Source organism: Homo sapiens, chromosome X, assembly GCF_000001405.40.
Source record: "Homo sapiens chromosome X, GRCh38.p14 Primary Assembly".
Lineage (NCBI taxonomy): Eukaryota > Metazoa > Chordata > Mammalia > Primates > Hominidae > Homo > Homo sapiens.
Window position 1 is genome coordinate 129,830,527 of NC_000023.11, and position 27,143 is coordinate 129,857,669.

Below are 27,143 nucleotides of genomic sequence, written 5' to 3' on the forward strand. Positions count from 1 at the left end.
TTCAAACAAAATAAATAGGAATATGTAAGGAGAGTTATCGCTGACCTATTTTTATCCTCCTCCTCCTGAGGCACATTTCTCCTTGAAAACAGAGTTTTCACTTGGAGGCAGACTATAAGTGGATGAGCAAGGAGCAGAGAGAGAGCAGAGAAAGTAAGCTAAGAAAAACGCTTACCTCATCAGCATGGGAAGTAAGCAAGCTACTGGCCATTCAAAGCAAACGTTTAACTCCTGGTTATATATTCTCTGCAGTTTCGGAACAACCCCCATGAGGTCTTCCCCTAGCTCCCTGCCACACACACAACTTCATGGGGGGACACAAGCCAAGTTTTATATTAGACTAAGCAGTTTTTGATGAAGGTGCACATATGTACTGAACCTGAAGGATGATTTTCGTGACTTTTGTGTTTGCTTGCTTGCTTATTTTTAACAAAATCCTTCATCTTAAGTTGCTTTTTTAATGATTTACTTCCTTCTCCTAAAAGCCAAGGGTTGGGGGAAAACTGGAGAACTGAAGGATCTGGCAGCTGAGTTCAGGGTAATTAAGGTTCTTACATATCACTAGCTTGTGGATTACCCTATTTTCCACTACTCCTTTTCACTGGTACAGATTAACCAAAAAGGGAATTCAGAAGCAAAAATCACCTCCACTTATCAGGAACCCAAAGGATGCAGGAAAAGCATGAGGCTTCATTTCATGAACAAGCCAAGTGAAATTACCACACTAACAGCAAATAGGAATCTTCCTGGCCACTGCCCATCACTAAGATCATTCTTGAAAACAAAGAAGTAATGTCTCCAGGACGCAAACTGCCCTGGATGTATAGTCTCCAATCAAAAGCCTTAAAAATCAGATGTATCTGATTGGCCACCAAAGAGAGCTTAATTTTTTTATTAAAGGGAAAACATACAGAGTGAGTAGAGCAACAGCAAAAAATTCTAAATTAATGCTGCCCCGCTGCACAGAAGGACCCGAGCTTAACTAAGTCCAGTTCCAACACCTGCTTGTAGGCCAGACAAAGGACAACTTAGATTTGAATTACGCTATGCCATCAAGGATAAAGGTCTCTGTAATCTCCACACAGAGCATCTTCTGCACCTGCTAAAACAATCCACTCTGTATGTCAACAAGTACACAACAGGCCTATTGTATTGTTCTCCTCCAGAGATGAGGCTATTGGCAGCCAGTCGTCTCTAGTGAGTGGGTGTGGCTGGGAAGCCAGATGTGGGACTAGCAGGCCTTTCTACTCTGAGTAAGGGGAAACTTCGAGCGCCAGCCACTAAGACTATTGTGAACTACAACCCATAGTGTTTGTCTTCAAAAGTTATGATAAAAAATACCCCCACCGGGGGTATTGGGAAGGGAGGATTGGGAAGATGTTTGTCAAAGGACATAAAATTTCAGTAAGGAAGAATAAGTTCATGAGATCTATTGCCCAACATGCGGACTATGGTTAATAACACTATATTGTATACCAGAAAATTGCTAGGAGAGTAGATTTTAAGCGTTCTCACCATTAAAAAAATAAGTATGTAAGGTAATACATATGTTAATTAGCTTGATTTAACTATTCCAAATGTATAGATGTATCAAAACATCATATTGTATACATATATATCTTTGTATATATATCTTTATATATATATATAAAATATTTGTCAATTTAAAAAATACTTCAAAAATATCACCCTAGACTAATCCCATAATTGCTATAAGCTGGAAGTCTGTCTCTGACAAGAATAAGCTACGTGAAAGTTTGGTGGTAATTCCCAATATAGACCTCCAAAGTCAGGAGTATCCTCAAACATCACTAATTTGTCTTAGATAAAGATTAGATCAGCCAGGCACAGTCGCTCACACCTGTAATCCCAGCACTTTGGGAGGTCAAGGCAGGTGGATCATCTGAGGTCAGGAGTTCAAGACCATCCTGGCCAACATGGCAAAACCCCATCTCTACTAAAAACACAAAAATAAGGCCGGGTGCAGTGGCTCACGCCTGTAATCCCAGCACTTTGGGAGGCTGAGGTGGGTGGATCACAAGGTCAGGAGATCAAGACCACCCTGGCTAACACAGTGAAACCCCGTCTCTACTAAAAATACAAAAAATTAGCCAGGCGTGGTGGTGGGTGCCTGTAGTCCCAGCTACTTGGGAGGCTGAGGCAGGAGAATGGTGTGAACCCGGGAGGTGGAGCTTGCAGTGAGCGGAGATCGTGCCACTGCACTCCAGCCTGGGTGACAGTGCAAGACTCCGTCTCAAAAATAAATAAATAAATAAATAAATAAATACATAAGCCGGACGTGGTGGCATGCACCTGTAATCCCAGCTTACTCGGGAAGCTGAGACAGGAGAATCACTTGAACCCATGAGGCGGAGGTTGCAGTGAGCTGAGATTGCACCACTGCACTCCAGCCTGGTGACAGAGCAAGACTCCACCTCAAAAAAAAAAAAAAAAAAAAGACTAGGTCAGATCTGTCATCCACGAATATAAGCTAATTGTTTCTGAAACTCCCTATATCACTCCATGGAATAATAATATCCATATACTTCTTAAAACAGAACTCTCCTGTATTCAAAGTACCAAGAGGCCTTTCTCCTTCCTGGGGATTAGAGTTCCTTTTCTCCCTTGTGAATTTTATAAATGCAACCATGTCCCAACTAAGTCTTCATTTCTGCCACCTGAAGAGACATCATCATTTTAAACCATCCTCTACTGACTTCTTGACTGTCCTCAGGCTACCATAGCTGGACTAGACAACTGGACTCCCACATGTCCCCTCAGGCGGCACGGTGGTACTGACCAGCAGTAACCATCAGTGCCAGGCTGGGCTCATGTGTCGTGTCCCATCCCCCATCCCTAGCATGCTAGTTCACTGGAGGGATGATGATAATGACACAGACTTCAATTCACATGAAAACACTCAGAAGAGATTCATGAGTAGAATGGGTAAGAATCTAGACAGAGAGCTATGCCTTACGGATTGGCAGCTTGGATTGGTGTTCTGTACAATACACTGCTTCTAAGTCTCCCTAACAGCTTTCTTGCTATGTTTTTTGGTTTGTTTGTTCTTTTATCAATGTAATCAGTCAGCCAACAAGTACTTGTTGGACTAACAAATGAAGAACAAGGGAAATAGGAGTTAATTTTGTTGGGGAAAACATAACTGAAATATGAAACAGCTAAAGAATAAGATGACCGATAATCAAGTGTTAGAATGGTGACTCAGCCTCTAAGGGCTGTAAGTGGTCAGGGAAGAGCTCTGTAGGGGAGCTGCTGGCTGCTTGAAACTGCTCCAGTAGCAGCTGGTAAGTATGGCTTTAAGGAAGAAGGCCCAAGGATCAGAGCCCCATGATACTCTTTGGTCACACATGGGAGAAATAAGCCTTTGCTATAATACCTCCCTGATATGGATGGCCATCTGTCCTCTTACTACCTACCTGCTACTTACTGAATGTCTGTATCCCTGCAAAATTCATATGTTGAAATCTTAACATCCAATGTGATGGATTTTGGAGGTGGGGCCTTTGGGGGGTGATTAGGTCACCTAAGGCTCCACCCTCATGAATGGGATTAGCATCCTTATAAAAGAAATCCTGGCAAGCTCCCTTGCCCCTTTGGCAAGGGAGAGAAGACAGCCATCTATGAACCAGAAAGCAGGCCTTCATCAGTCACCAAACCTGCAGGCATCTTGATCTTGTACTTGCCAGCCTCCAGAACTATGAGACACAAATTTCTGTTGTTTATAAGCCACCCAGTCGATGGTAGTTTCTTACAGCAGCCAGAACAGACTAAGACACTACCTCTAGAAGACAATAAACATGTAGAACCACCCATTAAGACTGTTTCAAGATTCTTCTGATGACCCTCAGAGTCTGCTGAGAGGGGAAGTTTCCCTTAACACTAAAAACATAATTTACAATCAGCCTCCAGATTTACTTCTATGTGAAGGTCAGAGAAAAATGCACAACCCTCTTTTGCTCCAGTAGCAATAAAGAAAATTAACCAAACAGGGACACTTTCAATTCTGAAGTGAGAAGCCATCCTCTCATCAAAATCTCTATCCAGGTAAACCCGCTCAGTAGTTTCCAAATTTCAGTTATAATAACAAAGTTCAAATTTCAGTTACAATATACCCCTGCTCGAGAACTTAGAACCATTCACTGCTGCCTATTATATTATGCCCCAAACTCCACAGGTCAGTATTCCAAGGCTCTCCATTAACTGGCCTTATCTAATCATCATCATAGGGGCCCTGTCTTCCCCACTCCATTCCAGAAACATCCCACTAATTAATTACCCTGAATTAGCTAGCTTCTTGCTACTGCAAATAGCCTAAGGTACCTCCTTTGTTCTTAAGCACAATACCAGCACCAGCATCTCTGAGGAGAAAGATTTAGGAGTCTCTTCTTTCCCTCAATAACATCTCAACTGATGTCAGCATGTTGGGGAACATCCCTGTTCTCTGGGCTTGCTTTTCCCAAAACAGAGGATCACTATATTTAATTAAGACTCATCCTCAAAAGATGGGAGAGGCATTCAGTGGAGACTGAAAATGTGAAACTCATTACCACAAAAGGAAATAGAGGCTGAAAATGTAGAGAAATTCTGAATGACAGAACCATAAAGAATTATTAAAGGAGCCAGGCATGGTGGCTTACACCTGTAATCCCAGCACTTTGGGAGGCCAAGGCTGTTGGATCACTTGAGCTCAGGAGTTCAAGACCAGCCTGGGCAAGATGGTGAGATCCTGTCTCTACAAAAAATACAAAACTTAGTCAGGCATAGTGGCTCACTCCTGTAGTCCCAGATACTTGGGAGGCTGAGGTGGGAGGACTGTTTAAGCCCAGGAGGCAGAGGATGCAGTGAGCCAAGATCACACCACTGCACTCCAGCCTAGGCAAGAGAGGGAGACCCTATCTCAAAAAAAAAAAAAAAAAGAGGAAAAAAAAGAATTATTAAAAGAAAGCAAACTGCCGCCAGGTGCAGTAGCTCACGCCTGTAATCCCAGCACTTTGGGAGGCAGAGGCGGGCGGATCACCTGAAGTCAGGAGTTCGAGACCAGCCTGGCCAACACGGAGAAACTCTGTCTCTACTAAAAAATACAAAATTAGCAAGGCGTGGTGGCGCATGCCTGTAATCCCAGCTACTCAGGAGGCTGAGGCAGGAGAATCGCTTGAACCCGGGAGGCGGAGGTTGCAGTGAGCCGAGATTGTGCCATTGCACTCCAGCCTGGGCAACAAGAATGAAACTCCGTCTCAAAGAAAAAAAAAGAAAAAGAAAAGAAAAAGAAAGCAAACTGTTCAGGAGATACAACCCAAGGAACTCTTGGGAAGAACTCTCTCTCAAGGAACATACTTCATCAGGAAGTTAAGTTTAGCTAAGTACTGTAACAGATTGATACCAAAGAGGCAACTATGCCTTTCTAAAACTCATTTGGTTAGTCAAGTCACAGACAGAATCCGAAGCTAGATAAAGCCAAGACTGACCTCCATAGAGTCATTCCCCAGAGAATGCACTCTTGGTTACAGAGCACAATATAGTCACTTTTTCCTCTTCCCAATCTCACATAAGGATGCTCTTCAGGAACCTGGACCTTGTCACTGTGGGCACTAACATTCTGGTATGTCAAAGTTTGGCTTTGGTCTACATAGTCTTGTGTCTCCTCAAACCTAGTAAGTTCATATTATCAGGTCTGCTTTTTCTATTTCACCTGTCTGCCAGACACACCTCCTCTTTCTTTTTTCTATTTTATTTATTTATTTATTTATTTAGATGGAGTTTTGTTCTTGTTTTGTTGCCCAGGCTGGAGTGCAATGGCACAATCTCGGCTCACTGCAACCTCCGCCTCCCAAGTTCAAGTGATTCTCCTGCCTCAGCCTCCCAAGTAGCTGGGAATACAGGTGTGCACCACCAAGCCCAGCTGACTTTTTGTACTTTTAGTAGAGACAGGGTTTCACCATGTTGGCCCGGCTGGTCTCGAACTCCTGACCTCAAGTGATCCACCTGCCTCAGCATCCCAAAGTGCTGGGATTACAGGCATGAGCCACTGCGCCCAGCCCACACTGCCCCTTTCATCAGGATAAGTCACTAAGTAACAATGTACAGAGCACACATTGCTTGATTTTTCTCCAAGCCATCCTCATCTTGGCAGCAGGGACCAGGAGTGGCCACAGCAGTGATGATCCCTTGTTAACTCACAAAGCTCCTGATAGGCTTCCCTGTTCCTGCAAGGCTACCAGAAATGCCATGCTGCAATACCATCAGTTCTCTGCAAAGATGCCTTCATTTTCTAGGAGCATAAGCTTGGGAGACCCAAAGAGCCTAGATGCCACTGGGTAACACACACACTAGCTCGCAAGAATCTGGAATATGCTGGCCTAGTATTTGGTACTATGTACACTTTACTAAAGCATGTGTGTTTGAATATCTTCAGGATTCCATAGCCAAAGGGTAACAATGAACAATGAGATAAAATGTCGAAATTAGAAGAAAAAGCCCTGAGTCAGTATAGAGACGTTGGCTGGTCAACTCATCTTGATAAAGGAAACTCACTTCTGTGGGCCTGGTTTCCTCACCCCACACAAGGAGGGAGATAGTCTCCAAAGCCCTTTCCAGATCTACCATCCTATGATTCTGTGGGTCAAGATTGTTAAATTTTAAGTACATCTAGAATGTTTTAATTCAGCAACACTTATTGGCCATCTACTCTATGTAAGGCATGGTAGAGAGCACTGTGGGGGCTACACAGCCATTGAACATAGTCTCTGACCTTGAAAGAGACTAGCTGCGGGGGACAACAACAGTGAGAAGTGTAATCACCATATAGCTCCAAACTATAAGAAATGTCATGTGATTATCTGTTGAATGAGCGGTGTGTACAATTAGCCCAATGAATGCAGAAATTACTGGAAAGTTTTCATGAAGAAAGACTCAAGAAAGAATTTGAAAGAGGGGTAGAATTTGGATAGGCTAGAAAAGTATTGTTTGTATTGATTACTATTGATTACTAAGCAGTGTTACAAAGCTGTTTTCAGTTCATCCAATTCAATGACTCTTCTGCCAATATATACATCAAAAGCTCTAATGGGGACCAACCTGACAGAACCTGGTCTGACAGTGCCTTGATAAGATTTCCTTCATATACAGAGGACACAGTGAGACCATAAGCACTGATTATAGCAGCAAACTGCTTCTGCTTCAGGGGTCAAGAGTCTCATAGTCATTCTTGCCACAAGAGAAGTCTGAGGACCTTGATCCCACTAGTGGCCAGGTCAGAAAGCTAAAAGAGAAAGCTGGAAGCCAATTCCAGGAGACAGTGCACTTGTTCCTTTCTCCAGGATCACACTTTATCAGGAAGTTGAATTTGACTGAATACCACGATAGCCTTTCAGTAGCTGGATGTCTCCTAGGTTGTCAGTGGCATTCTGCTACAGTGTCCTAACACTTCAGGCCAAGCTGGTAGCTATGTGTTCATCGCACAAGCTGGATAGAGCTTAAGCAGAAAGAACTGAAAATTGTTCATGTGCTCAAAGCTGAAACTAGCAATACACACTCACATTTCTTAAATACCTCACCCTAAGAATTAATTAGAAAATCCTTTTTCTTTAAGCATTATACCATTTTTCACTCTGCTTTTAAACTTAAATACGTTTACCATGAATACAATTATATTTAAATATAGCAACCTACTGGTAATCTATAATCTCCTTTTGTGTGTATTTGAGTCTTCCAGACAGACACAGAGTTATACAGAATTTCAGGTTCTTGGAGTTGCAAGAGGCTTAGTGAATATTTGGCCAAATTTCTACTCGGTGACAGCGGCCCGAGAGAGACCCCCCGGCTTCTTCAGAAACACCTCTAACAGGCCGGGCGCAGTGGCTCATGCCTGTAATCCCAGCACTTGGGGAGGCTGAGGCAGGTGGATAACTTGAGGTCAGGAGTTCGAGACAAGCCTGGCCAACATGGTGAAACCCTGTCTCTACTGAAAATACAAAAATTATTTGTATTTGGCAGGTGTCTGTAATCCCAGCTACTCGGGAGGCTGAGGCAGGAGAAGTGCTTGAACCCGGGAGGCAGAGGTTGCAAAAGCAGAGATCATGCCACTGCACTCCAGCCTGGGTGATGGGGCAAGGCCCTGTCTCAAAAAATAAATAAAAAATAAAAAATAATTAAAAAAAAAAAGAAACACTCTAACAATACAGAGCTAACTGGCCCCAGGATGGACAACTTTTTTTGTTTTATGTATTCAATCTACTATGTGTCCACTGAAAATTACAGGTCACTCATTTGAAAAGTCTTCTAGAAGATATGTAAAGGCATAATCCAAAAATAAAAGGACATCTGCCAGCACTGCTAACATTATGCGTTTTTCATTAAGGGGCACCCACATGCCTGACCAGACTTCTCAAGCCATCTGGCTGGCCCAGAGCTGTGCTGCAGGCAGCTATAAATCAACTCACACTTGTTCCTAAGCACCTGCTGCAAGCAGGACCCTGCTACTAAAATGCAGCTCCAGATGTGCCTCAAGATTTGGACTATCTTCCCACAAGGTAAAAATACAGCAGCCAGAGGATGTGGAGTCTCTACTCCTAGACAATGTAAGAATGAAAATAGATCACCATTTGTCTATTCAGACACCCTCACCTGCCTGAAGGCAGGGGGCTAGATCAACTGATTTCCTGAGGCCTCACTAAGTTCTTTTTTTTTTTTTTTTTTAAGACAGAGTCTCACTCTGTCATCCAGGCTAAGATCTCAGCTCACTGCAACCTCCGCCTCCCAGGTGCAAGGGATTCTCCTGCCTCAGCCTTCCGAGTAGCTGGGACTACAGGCGCACAACAGCCACACGGGGCTAATTTTTGTATTTTTAGTAGAGACGGGGGTTTTACCATGTTGGCCAGGCTGGTCTCGAACTCCTGACCTCAAGTGATCTGCCTGCCTCGGCCTCCCCAAGTGCTGGGATTACAGGCATGAGCCACTGCGCTAAGTCCTAATACTAACAAAGCAGCCCACATTCTGCTCCCCAAACCCTGCCCCCACTATGTGGTGGACAGGAAATTATAGATGCCAAAGAAAAAGGCCGACCAGAAGGAGATTTCATTCCTCAGAGGCATGCTGGTGTACCTTGTACAACCTGTCACTGGCTAGGCACAAGGCAGCCACCACCTAAAGTGTCTATGTGTCTGTATATGACAGACACACACACACATACACAAGCACGCACATCCACACATGTACAAAGTATTCATCACCAGGGTCCTCTCCTCTGTGGTCACATTTCCACCTCCCCCCTCCACTCCTCTGCTAACACATTTACTTCCTTCTCCCCTCTTCTTCCCACTACTCCCTCCTCCAGCCCTATCTTCAAAAATATTTAGTCTTTCACACAGACAGCTGGTACTCAAGTAAGTTTTACAAATAACCTCACCCTTCAAAATGCAAGAAATAACCTGGGGCGGGGGGAAGTCATCATGGTAGAAAACTCAACCTGCCTCTGTCAAATGGTAACTTGGCTAATTAGAAGCTTCATCCCACCAGCGGTTTTCTTCAGAGGCCTGCAGGGGCCTCAGTGGAACAGATTCCAGTCAGATTCTTCTGCTGGCTCCCAGATACAAAAGGGGACAAATGGCAATACCTCCAAATTTCAAGTACCCCTGGCCAGTCAAACCAGAGGTTTCCTGGGCCCAGAACTACCAACTAACTCAAAGCCTGGGAACAAGGCTCATCTCTGTTTGGAATAGTTGTAATAAAAATTTAACCTGGAGGTGGGGGTGGGGACAAAAAGAGAAAAAGAGAGGAAGAATGATAAAGAACAGATGTCAGCTTTGCACTTCCAAGAAGAAGCAGGACAGGAATGAGGCAAGGAATACTTGGAGAGAAGGGTGAGGAGAAGGAAAAACAATTTTTAATGCTAGGGGCTTATGCCTGCCTGACTACACATGCTCACTGGTACCACACACAAGCACGTGCGTGCACATATGCACACACACACACTCATTCAGGAAACTCAAACTGGAAAGCAAATAAGAAGCCTTCAGCAACCTGCCTGACTTCACTAAACACTTCACAAAGTCAGCAGTAGCGGCGGCAGCAGCAAAAGGACCTTTAACAAAGAGTTCCTCTGACCTTACTTTCCCAGCCCCGTTATAAACTGGATCTCCCTCCCCCTGCTGTTACTCAAGCCAGCTGCAACCACCCAAAAGTCTGGCAAAGCAGCCCAAAAATCACTCTGGGTGCACTGGGAAAGCCTGAAGCCCTCACAGAAGGACAAAAATGAGCCCCAAGGGACCAGAGCTCATTTTACTTCCCCACTAGGCTGGCCAAGGTGCCCCCTCCTACCTCCCATGGACACACCCCAGCATAAGCCCTCCATTTCCAGGTCACCCATGTACATACACCATAGCACGCTCACCTCAGGTGTGGCTTACAGTCCACACACACACCTCTTGGCTCTCAAAGGCCTCCTCACAGTAATCCCAAAACAATTAGCAATGCTCCCATCCCTAGAGTGTAGAGCATTCTCAGCACACCCAGGAGACACGCCACAGTGCCCTAGAATCCAGCCGGCCACCTCCCCTAGAGACGAGACCTACACAGACTTCAAACAGTGGCTCGAGTACGAGGTATTACACCACAGAAAAAAAATCACTCCAAGGCTGGTACCAGACATACACAGAATATAGAGCTGTTTACGTTGAGTGATTTTGAGGGAAAGAGCAACTCACTTCTAATAAGCACGTATGTGCCACGCACACAACTAGTATGTGGTCCAGCTGAGGCTGGAACTAATCTGTAGGTTCCCAACTCAGTTGGCTTTTCACTGTACCAGCTAGCTGAGAGCTGAGCCTTAAGGAAACAGGACCCAGAATAACAAAATAGGTGAGGATTGCTGAGTAATGTAACAATGAGGGGTGCCCTCAGGTTTGTGTGCAGGGGAGGCCATCTGTCATTTAGCTTCTAAGGAGACCACTAAAAGGGAGAGGTGAGTAATTAAGACAAACTTTCTTATTTCCCAAGTCTATCAAGGACAGCCCCAAATCAGTACTACAAAATTGGTATCAAAGGTATTGGTCTTTTTAGGAAGTACATACTCTGTGATGACCACGAAGCAATGAATTCAGCTGGCATCTCTACAGACATCGCTCAAGAGGACGTTAAAGTCATCCAAGGACCAGCCCCAAACTCCCCAGAAAGCAGGTTCTTCCCCTGGACCCAAAGTAACCATAATCAGGTAACTCTACTCAACCGAAACTCACTCAAAGGCGAAGAAGAGTGTACATGTCCCCAGGATGAGGAAAAGGGTCAGGTAGAAAATGCCCTTTTGCCGGGCCATCATGACGCGGCCATCACAGCAAAAGGTGTTCCTGCCTGGGAGTTTCTCCCATTTCCGTGTCACCTTCTTTCTCACCACCATCACAGACATGATTGGAATTCCTGCTCCAAAATGGGTTTTGCGATTACACGAGAGAAGAAACAGAGGCTGAGCCCAGCTTTGAAATCACGTTGCCTGCTATTCCTGCCGCTGGGTCAAACATCATCAAAAGTCCAATTGCTAGCCCTAAGAAAAAGCAGAAAAAGAAAAAAAAATGAGGCAATAATAAGAAAATACAGTTCAACCCTCCTTTCCCAGAGACAGAAAGTTGAAAACTGACTGAAGGGGTGGGGACGGGGAAGTGGGAAAAGTTTATTTCCAATTCGTGTTTGTTCTCTAAAAGAAGGTATGATAAAAGGTTCTCAAAAAAGGAAAGGGGCTAGTATTTCTTCTTAAATAAGCCTCTATGCTTCCAATCTAATGCTGATGATCTGATCATCACAGAACCTTGGAACTAGAGAGGATTTTATAGGTGATCGTGCCAATTATTAATACTTTGTTTTGTAAATGAGTAAACTGAGGACCAGAGAGAGGAAATAACTTATCCAGGACCACACAGCAGCAATGCTGATACTGCTAACTTCCAGTCAAGGGCATGTTCCACTATGCCACAGTGTTCTTTCAACATCATTAAAAGGACTCTAAAAATAATAGTAGAGTTTCTGTCCTTATAAAACCTCCCTCCCTTCCTCCACTTCACCTTCTTTCTTCAATTAGCCACTCGAATATGAATCACAGCAGGGAACAAGTCACCCTCTGGCAGGGCCAGGAGGTTCTGGACGCTCTGTGCACATACGTGCATTGTATTTACACAAAACAGATTTCCCCTCATCAAACCCTCTGCAACTTCCTGAGTCCGGGAAATGAAACAATCTGGCTGGTCTAGCCTAACATTTGTGAGAATCTTAATGAAACCACATCAGAGACCTGTAGGTGAAAGGCTGACTTAAGCAGGAGAGATTCTGGAATGGTTGGTGACTGCTGATGGCTGGTTGGGGGGTGGGGAATGGCAGCAGCTAAGAAAAGTCACAAGGGCGCTTTCTGGGACATGTCCTAAGTACCATCTCTACTCAGCATCCTGAATTCCCAGGCCCAGAGTTTCTCAGCCTCTGCTACCCTTCTCCTCCGCTCAGGTGTGGTGTTGTGGCCTCTATTTACCGACACCACATGCCCCACGCTGGCAGGACTGAGGCGGAAGCCTGCAGCCCGACGGACGGAGGGAGAAACAGCCAACTCGCGGGCTGGAGAGGGCAAAGGTCCAAAAACAGCCTAGGAGCGGAGCAGGGAAACGAGAAGGTAGAAGGTTCGGGGAAGGGGAGGGGGGCCCAGAGGTGCAGAGAACCCGTCCTTTGTGTAAAACTAACCTGGAAGACAATCTCCTCCCGATAAACCGGCCCAGCGGGAGAAGGGAGACCAGGAAGGGGGAGCCGGCCTGGAAGAACAAAGATCAAAATCCGTCGGGAAGCAGCGACCGGCTCCCCAGCGGGGGGCCGGAGGCCGGAGGCCGGAGTCCGGGGCCGAGCCGCGGGCGCGGCCTCTCGAGGCCCGCCCTGACTCCGCCACGCCGCGGACCACCGCCCCAGGCAGGTTGGGACGCGCGCCACATCCACACGCACACGCAGCCACACGCTCGTACACACTCACACACGCCCCGCCACGTGTAGTCACCCCGGGCCAGGGGCTCGGCGGCTGCCGAGTTGAGAAGGGCGGTGCCGACGTCCCCGCCTCCAGGCGCCGCGGAAGGGGAGGCAGCCCACCCTGCAGCCGAGCCCAGGAGACCCCCGCCCCCACCCCTCGTTACCTGAACCACGGAGACCCAACTCGGCCGGCAGCTGACGGCAGGAAACGGACCGTCCCAGGGAATCACGTCGGCAGCCAAAGGTGGCAGCGACTTGTCCTCCCCGGGCCGGGAGGCTGTCTCCTCCTGACAAGGGGCCCCAGTGGTCGGGGCCCTAAACCAGCTGTGGCAACCGCCCACCACTGGCCAAATGGAACGCTCCTCACGTCACCAGGTCGCTCCAGTAGTTGCTCGCCCTCTATTGGCCGATCGGCCTCGGCGCCTCCGCCCCGGCCGCCCCTATCCCGAACTGCCATTGGTTTTGCCTAACGCCACTCGACGATGCCTCCGCCCACTCCTCCACCCATCTCCCTGCTGCATGCCCACCTGCCAAGCCACTGCCAGCCTCTCTTTGGGGTCTGAGCGCCAGTATGTGAAGTGTTGCCTTCTATTAATATAGTTACGCAGAGACGGAGGTTAAGGGTAGTGCCGATGGGACAGCAAAGGGTGGAACCAGCCTACACACACGCGCGCGCGCGCGCACACACACACACGCGCGCGCACACACACACACAGTGAGATGCTGAAGCAACACTAGCTCACAGATCCGGGTGCTCACCCCAAACTAGGTCTGCCATGGGCCTCTCCAGCCCTGCTTGCATTTTAAAATCAACCGCAACTTGAGATTTTACTCTTTATCGGCATAAAAACAAGTCATCTGCCTCCCAAGTCTCATTCAGTAGCCAGGGACCCCATATCTGTCCCAGTCACCCTAGCCTGCATCTCTAAGTCTTTCAAATCAAAACACACAAACAAGCATAAAAAGCATGTTGTAAAGGATAAATGTCCCCAAGAACGTATTATCATTTTGCAGCACCTAAAACAACTAATTGACATTAATGGAGTTAAAGAAACTCCACTGAGGACATAAATTCTTCCAGGTAGGTAATGAAGTAAAGATTGCCAAAAAGGTTGTAAATTTTTATTCGGTTTGGAAAGCTTATGATGATTAAGGGGAGAATCCAAGGCAGAATTCCCACCCACCAACCAGATTGATTTTTTCCTTCTGCCACCCAGCTCTGCATTACTGCCACCATGAGCCACTGCTACTGATCCGAGTGAGTTGCATGCATTAAAAGTTTGAGATTGGGCTGGGCGCGGTGGCTCACGCCTGTAATCCCAGCACTTTGGGAGGCCGAGGCAGGTGGATCACCTGAGGTCAGGAGTTCAAGACCAGCCTGGCCAACATGGCAAAACCCGTCTCTACTAGAAAGACAAAAGTTAGCGGGGAGCGGTGGGACTCGCCTGTAGTCCCAGCTACCAGGGAGGCTGAGGCAGGAGGATCACTTGAACCCAGGAGGTGAAGGTTGCAGTGAGCCAAGATCATGCCACTGCACTCCAGCCTGGGCGACAGAGAGAGACCCTGTCTTAAAAAAAAAAAAAAAAAAGTTTGAGATTGAAGGGGGGAAACAATTGAGAACCACAGTATTATACTATAGGGTGACTTTAAAAGACACTAGGTCTGTTTTCACCAGTATGGCTCCTGCCTTCCAAATATAAGAGGAAATATGAGAAAAGGTTGAAGGTGGCATCTCCTTTCCAAGTGTAAGAGGAGATAAGAGAAAAGGTTGAAGATTGGAGGAGAATGCCTACATTACCAGCCTAGGTTTTCCTAAGCGTGATAAAAATTTCAAAGTTTTAGAGATTTGGTATTTGGAATTAGTACAGAAGAGACTGCCAAAGCTCTTCCTAAGGCAGTTGTATGTTAGTTGAAGGACCACATACATGGTCAAGAACTATTTTTCCTTTACAGTATATGTGTCCCACACAATATGAAACAAAAAGCTACATAATAATTACATTTGACACTTTCATGGCACCCTTCAAAATTCTTAAAGGATTTAAAAAACACTAGGTAATTCTGAGATGTGTTGTAATTAACTTGCAAAGGAAGGTTTGTCTTTATAAAGCTTCCATTGTTCCTTAGCACTCATGCTGATTATGATCAACAGTTTATTCCTCATGAAGTGTACGATCAGTATCATTGCCTCCAATTCTCCCGCTTTGAATTCTGGAGGGTGCTGGTATTGCACACACTTGGTATGGGAGGGAGAAGAACTTCCCTAAACCTCATCAGCCCTGTGGATTTCCAAGCCTATGTATATCAGATGCCCTTAGGAATAGTATGGTCACCCCAGCTGCCATCCTTCTGACTATGGAGCAGTGAAAAATAAGCCTCTGTAGCACTCAAACATATTTTGTCCATAGCTCAGGTGCAGGTGAAGCCTGAGGAGTCCTGGAATCGATGTGTCATGGTGACACATTCCTGAGCTCTGTCCCTCCCTGCTCTGGGTCACATTCCCTCTCGGACTAAGTGGCTATGTGAGTCAGGCTTGTTTTATTACAATCTGTTATTATTTATTCTCAACACTCAAAGAAAAATAAGGAAAATTTATGTGGACAAACATCCCATAGTACTTCCTCCTATGTAGTTACATCATTTTATATAATCCTTAAAGTCTTAATACACACACACAACTAAATTGTGACTATAAACTGAGACTGTTTTTTCCTATTCTTTTCTCTTCTCTTTTCAACAGACTTCCCACTTTTTACATCCAAGTCAGTGTTGGCTCTTTTGAAAAGAGGTTATAGGCCGGGCACAGTGGCTCACGTCTGTAATCCCAGCACTATGGGAGGCCAAGGCAGGCAGATCACTTGAGGACAGGAGTTTGAGACCAGCCTGGCCAACATGGTGAAACCCTATCTCTAGCCAGGCATGGTGGCAGGTGCCTGTAATCCCAGCTACTCAGGAGGCTGAGCATGAGAATCACTTGAATCTGGGAGGCGGAGGTTGCAATGAGCCCAGATCGCTCCACTGCACTCCAGCCTGGACGACAGAGCGAGATTCCATCTAAGAGAGAGAGAGAGAGAGAGAGAGGGAGAGAAAGAAAGAAAGAAAGAAAGAGAGAGAAGAAAAGGGGTTATAGTCATGTGATGAGCACTAGAAACACCACAAAAATCAAGGTATAGCCTTCCAGTTTATAAGACAGCTCCTTGTGTTATCATGTATGTTCTGGAGTATTTGTTTAAAAATACCTGTCTCCACATTTATTCTTCATGTGTGTGTGTTTGTGTGTGTGTGTGTGTGTGTGTAGGCGTGTGTAGGTGTAGGTGTAATGTGCTGTTTGATCCTGAGTGCCACCACTGGGTTGAAGCTTTCCTGTTAGTGTTGCTTCAAAGACTCTTCTGTAACCACCCGGAGACCCATTCAGTACTACATCCAGGAGCAGACATAAAGCATCAGCCCCCATCCTGCTTTTGAGCTCATGATAGCTCCTTTATTCTCTATTTTCTGTAGCCTCAAACTTGTCATGTCACTTTGCCCTCCTCCCCACACACACAGCCCTTTCCACCCCACCTCTCTGACTTGCACATCTCTTTCTGCTTTCTGGCTATAAATGCATGTGTGTGTAGAACGAATTGATGAACAAAAGAATGAACCACGGAATGCCCTACCCACGCATGATGAGCTAGTATTCTTAAGCAACATCTGTTTCTCTGAGGCCTGGGCTGCTATCACTGACATAGAAGATCCAGGATGGTAGGTAGCTCAGAAAGCACATAAGCCTTATGGCCAGACAGGCCTCGGTTCAAATCCTGGCTCTGCTACGTAATAGCTTGTATAACCTGTGGCAAGTAATTTATCCTTTCTGAGACTATTTCTTCATCTGTAAAATAAAGCTAATACCTATATCATGGAGTTATAAAGGGAATTGTGTGCTAACTGTCTGGCATGGAAGAGAGACACAGTCAATGCTGTATGTTATAATGACATCTCCATTACTGCCCCCTCCCATCTCCCTCCCTTAGCCATCCTGCTGACTGGGGTAGAGAGGTAGAAAAAATGAGACCCATTCTTCACTGTATAGAGTCCTTGTCATCCATGTACCACCACGTTTTCATAACCTCTAAATTCATCACTGAATTGAATCCTTATCTGACTGGGTTTCCCAGCCCCCTACCCCACCTGGGACTGGGGAAAGCCTGGATAGTAATCTTGTTCTAGTAGAATGGCTGATCCTTAGCCTCCTCTTCTCAAGTAAATCATTGACATTCCTGCCACATTATCTGTTTCAACAGGCAAAAGGTAAATGGGATTGCTTTCACTGAGCACCTCCTATGTTCACAGCCCTGTGCTGAGATTGTTGGCTTCTCTTGGGAACTAAGCAGCACCTTAAAGATGTCCTCGCATGGCCAGGCGCGGTGGCTCACGCTTGTAATCCCAGAACTTTGGGGGGCTGAGGCGGGTGGATCACCTGAGGTCAGCAGTTCAAGACCAGCCTGACCAACACGGCGAAACCCCGACTCTAATAAAAACACAAAAATTGGCTGGGCTTGGTGGCAGGTGCCTATAATCCCAGCTACTTGGGAGGCTGAGGCACAACAATCGCTTCCACCCGGGAGACAAAGGTTGCAGTGGGCTGAGATTGCGCCACTGCACTCCAGCCTGGGCGACAGAGCAAGACTCCGTCTCAAAAACAAACAAAAAAGATACTTTTGCATGAAAGCCAAACATGCAGAAAGCCCCCCAAAAAACAGCCTGGGATGGCCAGGAAAGTGTTCATCACAATGCAAGTGAACTGCCCAAACGCAGGTCTCTGTTTCTGCCTCAGATGCCTGGCTGCTCCCACTGGTTCCCAATTTGACTTCATCTCTGGACTGTGGATTTCTGACTCTGCCTGGGATGGCTTTAGGTCCTATGCTTGAACCCTCAACAGTAGCCCTAAGACAATCCTCTCATTAAAAGAGAATCATAACAGCAATAGAAATCATTTATTGGGGACCTCCTCTGAGCCAGGGATTGTAGTAGGTGCTTTATACATTTAGATTCTCAGATTACGGTCTAAACTTGATGTGCAAGTGACAGCATCTGATACTGACCCGGCACAGCCCTAGTCTCTGACTCTGCCCAGCTCTCTCATTCCAAGAGCTCACCTCAATCACTGTGCAGCCCAAAAATAGAACCAGTTTATCAATCAATCATGAAGTATGTATTAAGCAACAGCCATAGTTTGCTCAGCCTGTACTAGGCAATATGGGAAATACCAAGGAAGTATATGACATGATCCCAGCCTCCAAGGAACTTAAAATATTCTAGGGGCAAAAAGACTAGCACCTATGAAGTCATTAAAGATAAATACAAAACAGTGCAGAGTCAAATTCTCAACTATGCATAGCAGAGTCTCCAACTTCTTAAGGAGATCTTGCCTCAAAGGGTTGTAGCTTCTCGAATACCATTGGTAGAGGAGTAAACTGGTAAAAATCTTTCAGCAGGGCTATTTGGCGGTATCTTTTAACATTTTTGCATTACACAACCACTGACCCAACAATCCTACTTCTATCTAGAAATACTCGCACAAATGTTCAAAGATATATGTTCAAAGATGTTCACTACACACATTGCAATTGTTTGTGAATGTGCATAATTGTGTATGTGTAATTGCAAAAATTAGCAAACAAAAAAGGCCATTAACTATTGGAAATCTACATAGTACAGTACTATGCAACTATTAAAAATAATGGTATATAACATTCATACAGAAAAGAGCAGACCACTGCCTTCCTATATGTGGGAATATTTCAATGGAAATTTTACATTAAAATATTTTCTTGAGGCCGGGCACACTAGCTCACGCCTGTAATCCCAGCACTTTGGGAGGCCGAGGCGCGTGGATTGCTTGGGGCCGGGAGTTTGAGACCAGCCTGGCCAACATGGTGAAACCCCGTCTCTACTAAAAATACAAAAATTAGCCAGGTGTGGTGGTGCGCACCTGTAGTCCCAGCTACTCGGGAGGCTGAGGCAGGGGAATCACTTGAATCTAGGAGGCGGAGGTTGCAGTGAGCCGAGATTGCGCCACTGCACTCCAGCCTGGTGACAGAGTGAGACTCCGTCTCAGAAAAAATAAAAAATAAAAAAAAATTTTTAAAAAAGCAGCTCTGGCTCTCCCTCTCCCTCTCCCTCTCCCCCCTCTCCCTCTCCCTCTCCCCCCTCTCCCTCTCCCTCTCCCCCCTCTCTCTCTCCCTCTCCCTCCTCTCCCTCTCCCTCTCCCCACGGTCTCCCTCTCCCTCTCTTTCCACCGTCTCCCACTGATGCCGAGCCAAAGCTGGACTGTACTGCTGCCATCTCGGCGCACTGCAGCCTCCCTGCCTGATTCTCCTGCCTCAGCCTGCCGAGTGCCTGCGATTGCAGGCGCGCGCCACCACGCCTGACTGGTTTTCGTATTTTTTTGGTGGAGACGGGGTTTCGCTGTGTTGGCCGGGCTGGTCTCCAGCTCCTAACCGCGAGTGATCCGCCAGCCTCGGCCTCCCGAGGTGCTGGGATTGCAGACGGAGTCTGGTTCACTCAGTGCTCAATGGTGCCCAGGCTGGAGTGCAGTGGCATGATCTCGGCTCGCTACAACCTCCACCTCCCAGCCGCCTGCCTTGGCCTCCCAAAGTGCCGAGATTGCAGCCTCTGCCCGGCCGCCACCCCGTCTGGGAAGTGAGGAGCGTCTCTGCCTGGACGCCCATCGTCTGGGACGTGAGGAGCCCCTCTGCCTGGCTACCCAGTCTGGAAAGTGAGGAGCGTCTCTGCCCGGCCGCCATCCCATCCAGGAAGTGAGGAGCGCCTCTCCCCGGCCGCCATCCCATCTAGGAAGTGAGGAGCGTCTCTGCCTGGCTGCCCATCGTCTGAGATGTGGGGAGCGCCTCTGCCCCGCCGCCCCGTCTGGGATGTGAGGAGCGCCTCTACCCAGCCGCAACCCTGTCTGGGAGGTGAGGAGCGTCTCTGCCCAGCCGCCCCGTCTGAGAAGTGAGGAGACCCTCCGCCTGGCAACGGCCCCATATGAGAAGTGAGGAGCCCCTCCGCCCGGCAGCCACCCCATCTGGGAAGTGAGGAGCGTCTCTGCCCGGCAGCCACCCCATCCGGGAGGGAGGTGGGGGTCAGCCCCCGCCAGGCCAGCCGCCCCGTCCGGGAGGGAGGTGGGGAGGGTCAGCCCCCCGCCCGGCCAGCCGCCCCATCCGGGAGGTGAGGGGCGCCTCTGCCCGGCTGCCCCTACTGGGAAGTGAGGAGCCCCTCTGCCCGGCCAGCCGCCCCGTCTGGGAAGGAGGTGGGGGGGTCAGCCCCCCGCCCGGCCAGCCGCCCCATCCGGGAGGGAGGTGGGGGTGTGAGCCCCCCGCCCGGCCAGCAGCCCCGTCCGGGAGGGAGGTGGGGGAGTCAGCCCCCTGCCCGGCCAGCCGCCCCGTCCGGGAGGTGAGGGGCGCCTCTGCCCAGCCGCCCCTACTGGGAAGTGAGCAGCCCCTCTGCCCGGCCAGCCGCCCCGTCCAGGAGGGAGATGGGGGGGTCAGCCCCCCGCCCGGCCAGCCGCCCCGTCCGGGAGGGAGGTGGGGGGTTCAGCCCCCCCGCCCGGCCAGCCGCCCCGTCCGGGAGGGAGGTGGGGGGGTCAGCCCCCCGCCCGGCCAGCCGCCCTGTCCGGGAGGGAGGTGGGGGGTTCAGCCCCCCCGCCCGGCCAGCCGCCCCTTCCGGGAGGGAGGTGGGGGTGTGAGCCCCCCGCCCGGCCAGCCGCCCCGTCCGGGAGGGAGGTGGGGGGGGTCAGCCCCCCACCCGGCCAGCCGCCCCGCCCGGGAGGGAGGTGGGGGGGTCAGCCCCCCACCCGGCCAGCCGCCCGGTCTGGGAGGTGAGGGGCGCCTCTGCCCGGCCGCCCCTACTGGGAAGTGAGGAGCCCCTCTGCCCAGCCACCACCCCGTCTGGGAGGTGTACCCAACAGCTCATTGAGAACGGGCCATGATGACAGTGGCGGTTTTGTGGAATAGAAAGGAGGTAAAGGCGGGGAAAGGATTGAGAAATCGGATGGTTGCCATGTCTGTGTAGAAAGAGGTAGACACGGGAGACTTTTCATTTTGTTCTGTACTAAGAAAAATTCTTCTGCCTTGTGATCCTGTTGATCGGTGACCTTACCCCCAACCCTGTGCTCTCTGAAACATGTGCTGTGTCCACTCAGGGTTAAATGGATTAAGGGTGGTGCAAGATGTGCTTTGTTAAACAGATGCTTGAAGGCAGCATGCTCGTTAAGAGTCATCACCACTCCCTAATCTCAAGTACCCAGGGACACAAACACTGCGGAAGGCCGCAGGGTCCTCTGCATAGGAAAACCAGAGACCTTTGTTCACTTGTTTATCTGCTGACCCTCCCTCCACTATTGTCCTATGACCCTGCCAAATCCCCCTCTGTGAGAAACACCCAAGAATGATCAATAAAAATAAATAAATAAATAAATAAATAAATAAATAAATAAATAAAAGAAAAAAAGAAAAAAAAAAGAAGCTCTGGATGCATATAGGCAGGAGCAGAAAGGCAAGAAGGGGGCCTCAGAGCAAAAGAAGAAGGACAAAGACAAAAAAACAGACTCGGAAGAGCAAGACAAGAGCAGAGATGAGAACAATGATGAAGATGAAGAAAGGCTGGAAGAAGAACAGAACGAAGAGGAAGAAGTAGACAACTGAATAGGGCAGGAGACTGTGGCATCTTGGAAGGTACCACTTGAGATGAGATGTGCTACATGTTTCTGTGAAGCTTTTTCATGCTGGGCAGAGTAGTCTCAGGCAGAAGTGCCTGAAAAGATCAGAATAAAAACTGACTAGAAATACCATCAAAACCAGCACTTCCTAAACTCAAAGCATCTGAGTAGCAGAATCCTGTTTTACTTCATCAACCTCAAGGTTATGACTTTTTGGCAAAAGGGATTCTGAACGGCTAAATTAGTCAGTTTGATCACTTTTGGTTACTTATTTGTATGGTTAGGTGGTTTTTGATCCGCAGTCTTTCCTATTCCCCCAAATAAGTAATAATAACTTCCATGCTGCCTGATGTGTTCCAGATCACAGAGGCAGCCAAAGCTCAGGAAAATTGGGGCTTTGCTTATGGTCAGCCTATGTTTGATTGCACAGTCTTTGACAATAGTAGCTTACTAAGACTGGTCAGAATGAGTAAGCTTTAGGAAACTACTAAAATGCTGTGGGATAATAACAAAATCTGTTCTGTCTCTTCACTTGACAGAAGCGTTAACTGAATTTTGTTTTTCATAGACCCACTTGGCTCAAAACCTTTCTAAATTGCCTGTAGATAATTCGACCTGCTGGGGTGGGGGTAATCTGGTCACAAATGTTCTTAAATCAGCAGTTTAAAATGGTATTCGTCAAGCAAGGGTGCCAGTGTCTTACTTTTACAAAAACAGATGGCATAGTGTCACATGTATCTTACTCTCTGCTACTGTACAGCTTTGGGATTTGTCATCACCTGCTGGAAGGTGTAAAACCCCAGGCTTCCTCTTCTTGAAGTCCATCTCCCAGACTTGTGACTATGGCTTTTCATTCTTCAATTCATGATGAGTTCCAAACTTTATTTCCTCTAGGCACAGCTTCCTCCCTCTGCGCCTCTTACTTCCTTTCTCTCTTCTGCCTCTCCTCTGCTCCCCATCCCACTTTCTGCTCTCCCTCCTTTTCTCACTTATGTCAGTCTAGGAGCTTTGATTACCTGCTTAGTACTCCAAAGTGTGAGTTCCTCTGATCTCTTGATTCCTTGGTTCTAATCTCATCATGCTTTTTGTTGTTGTTGTTGTTGCTGTTTGTTTGTTTGTTTGTTTGTTTTTGAGATGGAGTCTTGCTCTGTAGCCAGGCTGGAGTGCAGTGGCATGATCTCAGCTCACTGTAACCTCCACCTCCTGGGTTCAAGTGATTCCCCTACCTCAGCCTCTCAAGTAGCTGGGACTACAGGTGCGCACCAGCATGTCCAGCTAATTTTTTGCATTTTAGTAGAGACAGGGTTTCACCATGTTGGCCAGGATGGTCTCAATCTCCTGACCTCATGATCCACCCGCCTCGGCCTCCCAAAGTGCTGGGATTACAGGCGTAAGCCACCATGCCCGGCCTTGTTTATTTATTTATTTATTTAATTATACTTTAAGTTCTAGGGTACATGTGCACAACGTGCAGGTTTGTTACAAATGTATACATGTGCCATGTTGGTGTGCTGCACCCATTAACTTGTCATTTATATTAGGTATATCTCTTAATGCCATCCCTCCCCCCTCCCCCCACCCCACGACAGGCCCTGGTGTGTGATGTTCCCCTTCCTGTGTCCAAGTGTTCTCATTGGTCAGTTCCCACCTATGAGGGAGAACATGCAGTGTTTCATTTTCTGTCCTTGCGATAGTTTGCTGAGAATGAAGGTTTCCAGCTTCATCCATGTCCCTACAACGGACATGAACTCATCCTTTTTATGGCTGCATAGTATTCCATGGTGTATATGTGCCACATTTTCTTAATCCAGTCTATCATTGATGGACATTTGGGTTGGTTCCAAGTCTTTGCTATTGTGAATAGTGCTGCAATAAACATACGTGTGCATGGGTCTTTATAGCAGCATGATTTATAATCCTTTGGGTATATACCCAGTAATGGGATTGCTGGGTCAAATGGTATTTTAGTTCTAGATCCTTGAGGAATCACCACACTGTCTTCCACAATGGTTGAACTAGTTTACACTGCCACCAACAGTGTAAAAGTGTTCCTATTTCTCCACATCCTCTCCAGCACCTGTTGTTTCCTGACTTTTTAATGATCGCCATTCTAACTGGTGTGAGATGGTATCTCATTGTGGTTTTGATTTGCATTTCTCTGATGCCCAGTGATGATGACCTTTTTTTCATGTGTCTTTTGGCTGCATAAATGTCTTCTTTTGAGAAGAGTCTGTTCGCGTCCTTCGCCTACTTTTTGATGGGGTTGTTTGATTTTTTTTCTTGTAAATTTGTTTAAGTTCTTTGTAGATTCTGGATATTAGCCCTTTGTCAGATGGGTAGATTGCAAAAATTTTCTCCCATTCTGTAGGTTGCCTACTCACTCTGATGGTAGTTTCTTTTGCTGTGCAGAAGCTCTTTAGTTTAATTAGATCCCATTTGTCAGTTTTGGGTTTTGTTGCCATTGATTTTGGTGTTTTAGATATGAAGTCCTTGCCCATGCCTATGTCCTGAATGGTATTCCTAGGTTTTCTTCTAGGGATTTTATGGTTTTAGGTCTAACATTTAAGTCTTTAATCCATCTTGAATTAATTTTTGTATAAGGTATAAGGAAGGGATCCAGTTTCAGCTTTCTACATATGGCTAGCCAGTTTTCCCAGCACCATTTATTAAATAGGGAATCCTTTCCCCATTTCTTGTTTTTTTCAGGTTTGTCAAAAATCAGATGGTTGTAGATGTGTGGTGTTATTTCTGAGGCCTCTGTTCTGTTCCACTGGTCTATATCTCTGTTTTGGAACCAGTACCATGCTGTTTTGGTTACTGTAGCCTTGTAGTATAGTTTGAAGTCAGGTAGCATGATGCCTCCAGCTATGTTCTTTTTGCTTAGGATTGTCTTGGCAATGCGGGCTCTTTTTTGGTTCCGTATGAACTTTAAAGTAATTTTTTCCAATTCTGTGAAGAAAGTCCTTGGTAGCTTGATGGGGATGGCATTGAATCCATAAATTACCTTGGGCAGTATGGCCATTTTCATGATATTGATTCTTCCTATCCATGAGCATGGAATGTTCTTCCATTTGTTTGTGTCCTCTTTTATTTCGTTGAGCAGTGGTTTGTAGTTCTCCTTGAAGAGGTCCTTCACATCCCTTGTAAGTTGGATTCCTAGATATTTTATTCTCTTTGAAGCAATTGTGAATGGGAGTTCACTCATGATTTGGCTCTCTGGTTGTTATTGGTGTATAGGAATGCTTGTGATTTTTGCACATTGATTTTGTATCCTGAGACTTTGCTGAAGTTGCTTATCAGCTTAAGGAGATTTTGGGCTGAGATGATGGGGTTTTCTAAATATCCAATCATGTCATCTGCAAACAGGGACAATTTGACTTCCTCTTTTCCTAATTGAATACCCTTTATTTCTTTCTCCTGCCTGATTGCCCTGGCCAGAACTTCCAACACTGTGTTGAATAGGAGTGGTGAGAGGGCATCCCTGTCTTGTGCCAGTTTTCAAAGGGAATGCTTCCAGTTTTTGCCCATTCAGTATGATATTGGTTGTGGGTTTGTCATAAATAGCTCTTATTATTTTGAGATACATCCCATCAATACCTAATTTATTGAGATTTTTTAGCATGAAGGGCTGTTGAATTTTGTCAAAGGCCTTTTCTGCATCTATTGAGATAATCATGTGGTTTTTGTCTTTGGTTCTGTTTATATGATGGATTACGTTTATTGATTTGCATATGTTGAACCAGCCTTGCATCCCAGGGATGAAGCCCACTTGATCATGGTGGATAAGCTTTTTGATGTGTTGCTGGATTTGGTTTGCCAGTATTTTATTGAGGATATTTGCATCGATATTCATCAGGGATATTGGTCTAAAATTCCCTTTTTTTGTTGTGTCTCTGTCAGGCTTTGGTATCAGGATGATGCTGGCCTCATAAAATGAGTTAGGGAGGATTCCCTCTTTTTCTATTGATTGGAATAGTTTCAGAAGGAATGGTACCTGTTCCTCCTTGTACCTCTGGTAGAATTCGGCTGTGAATCCATCTGGTCCTGGACGTTTTTTGGTTGGTAAGCTATTAATTATTGCCTCAATTTCAGAGCCTGTTATTGGTCTATTCAGAGATTCAACTTCTTCCTGGTTTAGTCTTGGGAGGGTGTATGTGTCCAGGAATTTATCTGTATCTTCTAGATTTTCTAGTTTATTTGCATAGAGGTGTTTATGGTATTCTCTGATGGTAGTTTGTATTTCTGTGGGATCGGTGGTGATAACACCTTTAGCATTTTTATTGCATCTATTTGATTCTTCTCTCTTTTCTTCTTTATTAGTCTTGCTAGCAGTCTATCAATTTTGGTGATCTTTTCAAAAAACCAGCTCCTGGATTCATTGATTTTTTGAAGGGTTTTTTTGTGTCTCTATCTCCTTCAGTTCTGCTCTGATCTTAGTTATTTCTTGCCTTCTGCTAGCTTTTGAATGTGTTTGCTCTTGCTTCTCTAGTTCTTTTAATTGTGATGTTAGGGTGTCAATTTTAGATCTTTCCTGCTTTCTCTTGTGGGCATTTAGTGCCATAAATGTCCCTCTACACACTGCTTTAAATGTGTCCCAGAGATTCTGGTATGTTGTGTCTTTGTTCTCGTTGGTTTCAAAGAACATCTTTATTTCTGCCTTCATTTTGTTATGTACCCAGTAGTCATTCAGGAGCAGGTTGTTCAGTTTCCATGTAGTTGAGTGATTTTGAGTGAGTTTCTTCATCCTGAGTTCTAGTTTGATTGCACTGTGGTCTGAGAGACAGTTTGTTATAATTTCTGTTCTTTTACATTTGCTGAGGAGTGCTTTACTTCCAACTATGTGGTCAATTTTGGAATAAGTGCGATGTGGTGCTGAGAAGAATGTATATTCTGTTGATTTAGGCTGGAGAGTTCGGTAGATGTCTATTAGGTCCACTTGGTACAGAGCTGAGTTCAATTCCTGGATATCCTTGTTAACTTTCTGTCTCGTTGATCTGTCTAATGTTGACAGTGGGGTGTTAAAGTCTCCCATTATTATTGTGTGGGAATCTAAGTCTCTTTGTAGGCCTCTAAGGACTTGCTTTATGAATCTGGGTGCTCCTGTATTGGATGCATATATATTTAGGATAGTTAGCTCTTCTTGTTGAATTGATCCCTTTACCATTATGTAATGGCCTTCTTTGTCTCTTCTGATCTTTGTTGGTTGAAAGTCTGTTTTATCAGAAACTAGGATTGCAATCCCTCCTTTTTTTTTGTTTTGCATTTGCTTGGTAGATCTTCCTCCATCCCTTTATTTTGAGCCTATATGTGTCTCTGCACGTGAGATGGGTTTCCTGAATACAGCACACTGATGGGTCTTGACTCTTTATCCAATTTGCCAGTCTGTGTCTTTTAATTGGAACATTTAGTCCATTTACATTTAAGGTTAATATTGTTATGT

The 27,143-nt window shown here is 46.3% G+C and overlaps 1 protein-coding gene across 4 annotated transcripts in view, besides 2 other annotated features; it reads right to left on the minus strand.

Annotated features, from left to right (window-relative positions):
* ZDHHC9 (zDHHC palmitoyltransferase 9) overlaps positions 1 to 13,360 on the minus strand; it is a 40,599-nt gene extending 27,239 nt beyond the window's left edge. For 3 of the 4 annotated variants that reach the window (NM_016032.4, XM_047442151.1, XM_011531348.4), the window contains exons 1-3: positions 13,170 to 13,360; positions 12,733 to 12,800; positions 11,253 to 11,554 (exon numbers count right to left, since the gene is read on the minus strand). In NM_016032.4, the coding sequence (NP_057116.2) occupies positions 11,253 to 11,419 (167 nt within the window). In that variant the 5' untranslated portion in view covers positions 11,420 to 11,554; positions 12,733 to 12,800; positions 13,170 to 13,360. Of the gene's footprint in view, positions 1 to 11,252; positions 11,555 to 12,732; positions 13,074 to 13,169 lie in introns of those variants that run through there. The other variant, NM_001008222.3, reaches the window with a different exon arrangement.
* Positions 18,981 to 19,796: an enhancer, noted in NCBI's record as "H3K27ac hESC enhancer chrX:128983483-128984298 (GRCh37/hg19 assembly coordinates)". NCBI's record gives its function as "activates a minimal SCP1, AML or CMV promoter by ChIP-STARR-seq in naive H9 embryonic stem cells {active_cell/tissue: H9 hESC(naive)}" and the evidence as "EXISTENCE:reporter gene assay evidence [ECO:0000049][PMID:30033119]".
* Positions 19,797 to 20,610: an enhancer, noted in NCBI's record as "H3K27ac hESC enhancer chrX:128984299-128985112 (GRCh37/hg19 assembly coordinates)". NCBI's record gives its function as "activates a minimal SCP1, AML or CMV promoter by ChIP-STARR-seq in naive H9 embryonic stem cells {active_cell/tissue: H9 hESC(naive)}" and the evidence as "EXISTENCE:reporter gene assay evidence [ECO:0000049][PMID:30033119]".